General features: G+C 37.5%; 1 annotated feature.

The window, feature by feature from the left end:
• Positions 1,285–1,644: an enhancer, noted in NCBI's record as "active region_20201". NCBI's record gives its function as "activates an Ori minimal core promoter by ATAC-STARR-seq in GM12878 lymphoblastoid cells {active_cell/tissue: GM12878}" and the evidence as "EXISTENCE:reporter gene assay evidence [ECO:0000049][PMID:35858748]".

Below are 6,617 nucleotides of genomic sequence, written 5' to 3'. Positions count from 1 at the left end.
GGTTATCTCCGTGGTTTACGATAACTTAACAACCTTAATTATGATTGATAGCATACACTTATACATTAAAATTTTAGAAATCCCATACAATTTTGGGACATATGTTAGCATTATTCACAAAAATATAACCTAAAGAAGATTGAGCATAATTTTGGCAATCCCATGTACCTAAACTTGTGAAATAATCCTGCTTACCTCTCTTTTCCGGACACTTCAGTGGCTCTCCGAAGTATTTGAAAAGCCAGGTGCCAGGGAAGACAATTTTGAAACTGAAGTTTGATTTGGGGAATGCTGTTAAATGTTCAAGATTTAAAACACTTGATATTACGAAATAGAAATCCAGATTACCATAAATTATTTATTTTGCCAAAATGATGACTCAGAAATTTTAAAGAAGCAAAAGCCTTTGATAACCCTTTACAAATTTTGCCAAAGAGAAGATTAGTACCTTAGAAAAACCTTGTTATGCTTTTATTTTGAAGCTCAATTTATATTGAGAAAAAACATGTAATACTTTTTTTAATTTAGTCAATATGCTCACACTGAGAACCTCTTCTGCAAGATTAATTTCCAAAATTTTTCCACCACTTCTTTGAAACTTCAGCTTTTTCCTAATTTAACTCAATATAATCCTTTAACCCTAGGCCAAAGTTTACATTTCCATGTCTTCTTATAACCTTTTACAAAACACATACACACACACACACACACACACACACACACACACGATTTTACTGTTCTTATACACCTTGCATGTAAATCTGTTTTCAGTAGTCTCAATTACATGTTATAATGGTAACTCCTAGCAATTGTTAACTTTAAGGTAAAACTTGGTACATTAGCTTTAATTATGTGCTAACTACAGTCAAGGTTTGCCTTCTTAGTTAAGGGCATGGTTAGTTCCATATATCCCCAGGCCTTACCAATTGTGAAGCAGGCAAGACAGACAGTTCTCAAAACCCAAAAAGCAGTTCGTAACCTCAAAACACTTAGCAAACCTTGCATCCGGCCTGCATTTTACCAATAGTCCTTGGGGCTGTTTTTATTTCTCAAAGATTACAGTCACAGAACTGGAAGGTACCATAGCTTTTATTTCTTAAAATTATTAGATCCAGGCACTTGTCTTTCTTTACGCCAAAGTAATTAGAGCTCTTCTTTTTTTTTTTTTTTTGAGACAGTCTTTCTCTGTTGCTGAGGCTGAAGTGCAGTGGCGTGATCTCAGCTCACTGCAACCTCTGCCTCCCGGGTTCAAGCAATTCTCCTGCCTCAGCCTCCAGAGTAGATGGGATTACAGGTGCACGCCACCATGCCCAGCTAATTTTTTGTATTTTTAGTAGAGACGGGGTTTCACCATGCTGGCCAGGGAGCTCTTTTTACAGACATCATACGTAGAGCACACACAGACAAGCAGAAGAAAAGTCAGTCGCTGGATGGGGCCCTTTAAGAGATAGGGCCACATGCAGATATCAAACCAGAAAGAACCATTCCCTAAGGCAGGGTTGCTAAACAAAACCAAAAAAACTTTAAAGGTTAATTTGTTGATGGGGTAGAGTAGGGGAAAGAAAAGAAACAGTTTAAAAATATCTGGGGAAGAACCTCTTATTCTTAGGCAAGTGGTTCCTCCGCTGGGGAGAAAAGTTTAATTACTGTCCCGTGGAGTTGAAACCGTTTGGCTGGGGAAGGGGAAAGCTGCTGCAGCATGGCTGGGAACCAGCCTGCTGGCTGTGTGGGACCCTTGGGCACCGCGTCCCAGCCCCAGCATGGAGGTGGGAGGGGCTGAGAGCTGTTGCTCCTTGGTTCTTCCTGAGAAAGGAAGGAAAAGGCCATGAAAAGGCCCCCAACCCCCAGGAGTGGAGAGGGATGGGGGTTCAAACCCCAGAAGCGACAAGGAGTGGGGGTGCAGTTTCTTGTAAGTTCAGACGTCTGAGGTTGAAAAGGCTTAGAAATCACAGTGAGAGGTTTTGAGTTCCCATTTCACTCACCACTTCTGGAGCCCCTCATTTGCGGCAAAAACGTTGCATAACTTTTCCTTAGTTCAGGTAAAAATGTGGGGGCTCTTGTCTGTCCAACAGCCATGAAAATTTAGGCTCACAGACAGTTTAAAGGGTGAGTAAAGCAGGGTTTTATTGGGTGAAAAGGGCCGGGGGGCGGGTGGGGAAAGGACACGGATCCTCCACACGGCCAGAGTACCCTGCTAGAGCACTTCCCACCTGGCTATTTGAATCTCAGGTTCCGCACAGGAAGAGGAGGGGCTGGGCTCCTCCGCATTGCAAAGGGTGCAAACTTTCTGAGGTTCCAGTCCAGTGGGCAGGCTGGTTAGAGTTCCTCTAGGGGCCCCCTCCCACCTGGCTGTCTCACTTACAACTTCCCTGTTCTGTATGATGTTGTCTATGAGTTTGTCATACATGACTTGTATTATTTTGAGGTATGTTCTTCTGATGCCTAGTTTCTTGAGGGTCTTTATTATGACAGGATGTTGAATTTTACTGGAAGCTTTTTCTGTGTCTATTGAAATGATCATATGGTTTTAGTTTTTAATCCTGTTTATGTGGTGAATAACATTCATTGATTTTTATATGTTGAACCAACCTTTCATCCCAGGATTAAAGGCTACTTGATTGTGCTGAATTAACTTTGTGATGTGCTGCTTGATTTGGTTTACAAGTATTTTGTAGAGGATTTTTGCATCTATGTTCATCAAGAATATTTGCTTGTAGGTTTCTTTTGTTGTTATTGTGTCTTTGCCACCTTTTGGTATCAGTATGATGCTGACTTTGTAGAATGATAGGGAGGAATACCTCCTCCTCGATTTTTTGAAATAGTTTCAGTAGAGCTGGTACCAACTCTTTGTATATCTTGTAGAATTTGGAGGAAATCCATCTGGTCCAAGGTTTTTTCTTTTCCTTTTTCTTTCCTTCTTTCTTTCTTTTTTTTTTTTTTTTTAGTTGGTATGTTTTTTAAATTACTGATTCAATTTTGGAACTCAATACTGGTCTGTTTAAATTTCTTCCTAATTCAAACTTGAGAAGTTGTGTGTTTTCAGGAATTTATCAATTTCCTCTAGATTGTCTAGCTTCTCTGCATAGAGATGTTTATAATAGTATCTGAGTATCCTTTATATTTCTGTAGGATCAGTTGTAATGTGACCTGTGCCTTTTCTGATTGTGCTTATTTGGATTTTCTCTCTTTCTTTGTTAATATAATTAACATTCTATCAATCTTGTCTATCCTTCCAAACAACTAACTTTTTGGTTTCATTGATTCTTCGTATGAATTTTTGGTCTAAATTCCATTTAGTTCTGCTCTCATTTTGGTTATTTATTTTCTTCTGCTAAGTTTGGTTTTTATTAGTTCTTGTTTTTACTAGTTCTACGTGTGATGTTAGATTGTTATTTTGAGATCTTTTTAATTTGTTGATGTAGACATTTAGCAATATAAAATTTCCTCTTAACACTGCTTTTGCTGCATCCCAGAGATTTTAGTATGTTATATCTCTGTTTTTATTTATTTCAAAGACTGTTTTGATTTCAGCCTTAATTTCATTTTTTACCTGAAAGCCATTTAGGATCAAGTTACTTAATTTCTGTCATTGTGTGATTTTCAGAGATCTTCTTGGTAATGATTTCTATTTTTATTCACCTTTGGTCTCAGAGTATGGTTGATGTAATTTTGAATTTTTAAAAACTTAACTGAGACTTGTTTTATGGTCAAGCATGTGGTTGATCTTTGAGTTTGTTTCATGTGCAGATGAGAATAATATATATTCTGTGTTTGATGAGTGGAGGTGTTTGTTAGGTCCAACTGGTTAAGTGTCAAATTTAACTCCAAAATTTGTTTGTTAATTTTCTGCCTTGAGGACCTGTCTAATGCTGTCAGTGGTGTGTTGAAGTCCCCCATTATTATTGGGTAGCTTTCCACATCTTTTCATATGTATAGAAATACTTGTTACATGACTGTGGTGCCCCAAAGTTGGGTGCATATATATTTAAGGTAGTTAAGTCTTTCTGTTGAATTGAACCCTTTATCATTATATAATGACCTATTTTGTCCTTTTTTACTGTTACTGGTTTAAAGTATATTTTATCTGATATAAGAATAGTAATCCCTGCTCATTTTTGTTTATCGTTTGAGTGATAAATTTTTCTCTAACCCTTTTCTTTGAGCCTGTGGATGTTGTTACATGTGATATGGATCTCTTGAAGATAGGAGATGTATGGGTCTTGTGTTTTTATCCAACTTGCCACTTGGTGCCTTTTAAGTGGGGTGTTTAGGCTGTTTTCATTAAAGGCTAATATTGATACATGAGGTTTTATTTCTATCATGAAGTTGTTACCTGATTGCTTTGTAATTTAGTTTCTATTGTGTAGTTGCTTCATAGCTATGTATTTAAGTGTGTTTGGAGGGTAGCTGGTATTGTTCTTTATTTCCATGTTTAGAACTCCCTTAAGAATCTCTTATAAGGTGGGTCTAGTAGTAACAAATTCCCTTAGTGCTTTCTTGTCCAGAAAAGATTTTTTTTTCTTCTTCAATTATGAAGCTTAGGTTAGCAGAATATAAAAATCTTGGCTGGAATTTCTTTTCTTTAGGAATGCTGAATGTAGTCCCAAATCTCTCCTGGCTTGTAAGGTTTTTGCTGAAAAGTGTACTGTTAGCCTTGCAGGGCTCCCTTTGCATGTGATATGACCCTTTTCTCTAGCTGTCTTTAAGATTTTTGTCTTAGCGTTGACCTTTGACAGTTTAGTTTAGTGGCCCTATGCCTTGGTGATGTTCCTTTTGTATAGTGTCTCACAGATGTTCTCTAGATTTCTTATATCTGGATATCTACCTCTCTAGCAAGATGAGAGAAATTTTCTTGAATTATTACCTTAAATACATGTAACAGGTTGTTTAGTTTTTTTTCTCCTTCTCTCTCAGAAATGCCAACAATTTATAGGTTTAGTCACTTTACATAATCCCATATTTATAGAAGACTGTTTATTTTTTAATTCATTTTAAAATTTTTGTCTGAGTAGGTTAGTTCAAAGACTGCTCTTTGAGCTCTGAAATTCCTTCTTTTGCTTGTTCTCATCTATTAATAAATCATTTAGTTTTACGTTCACATTCCTTAAGTGAGTTCTTTAATTCCAGAACCTCTGATTGATTTCTTTTTAATACGTTTATTTCTTTTTTCATTTCCTGGATTGCTTTAGATGTTCCTTTGTGTTGCTTTTCAAACTTGTCTTGGATCTTGTTGAGCCACCTTGCAATCCATGCTTTTAATTTATTTATTTTTTTAACTTTTAGGCTCAGAAGTACATATTCAGGTTTGTTGTACAGGTAAGTTGCATGTCATGGGGGTTTGGTGTACAGATTATTTTGTCACCCAGGTAATAAGCATAGTGTCTGATAGTTTTTTAGTCTTCACCCTCCTCACACCCTTTACCCTCAGGTAGGCCTCAGTGTCTGTTGTTCCCTTCTTTGTGTCCACAGGTACTCAATGTTTAGCTCCCACTTAGAAGTGAAAACATGCAGTATTTGGTTTTCTGTTTCTGTGTTAGTTCACTTAGGATAGTGACCTCCAGTTCCAACCACGTTGCTGCAAAGGACATTATTTTATTCTTTTTTATGGCTGCATAGCAGTCCATGGTATATATGTACCACATTTTCTTTATCTAGTCTATTGTTGATGGACATTTAGGTTGAGTCCATATGTTTGCTACTGTGAATAGTACAGTGATGACCATACATGTGCATTCTATCTTTATGATAGAATGATTTATATTCCTTTGGGTATGTACTCATTAATGAGATTGCTGAGTTGAATAGTAATTCTGTTTTAAGTTCTTTGAGGAATTGCCACACTGCTTTCCACAATTGCTAAGACTAATTTACATTCCCACCAGTAGGTATACGCATTCCCTTTCTTTACCCCTTTTCATTTCTGAGTTTCCACTTTGGTCGGGGACCATTGCTGGAGAGCTAGTTATATTCTTTAGTGCTGTCACTGCATTCAGATTTTTTTATGGTGCCATAATTCTTATACTGGTTCCTTCACATCTAGACACACTGGATTTTTTTTTTTTTTTTTTTGAGATGGAGTCTCACTGTGTCACCCAGGCTAGAGAGCAGTGGTGCTATCATGGCTCATTGCAACATCCACCTCCTGGGTTCAAGTGATTCTCCTGCCTCAGCCTCCTTAGTAGCTGGGATTACAGGCACCCACCATCACACCCAGTTAATTTTTGTATTTTTAATAGAGGTGGGGTTTCACCATGTTGGCCAGGCTGGTCTTGAACTCTTGACCTCAAGTGATTCACCTGCCTTGGCCTCCTAAACTGCTGGGATTACAAGCGCAAGCCACCACACCCGGCTGCATTTCTTATTTCTATAATTATTTTCATGTTGATAGAATCCATGTTTCTTTCTTTCTTTCTCTCTTTCTTTCTTTCTTTTTTCTTTCTTTCTTTCTTCTTTCTTTCCTATTTCTTTTCTTACATTATTAGGGTATTTTGGGGTTTTTTCCCTCTTCCTTAGGCAGTGTTACTATGGAATGTTGGGTAAGGTCTTTTAGCCCTATTAACTTTTGTTGGTAGGTTTTACATTGGGCCATGTGGTTTGACCCACAAGCCAGTAGATGG

Source organism: Homo sapiens, chromosome 3 (assembly GCF_000001405.40).
Source record: "Homo sapiens chromosome 3, GRCh38.p14 Primary Assembly".
Taxonomy (NCBI): Eukaryota; Metazoa; Chordata; class Mammalia; order Primates; family Hominidae; genus Homo; species Homo sapiens.
The sequence above is the reverse complement of the archived record's forward strand: the minus strand, read 5'-3'. Positions and strand labels throughout refer to the sequence as shown.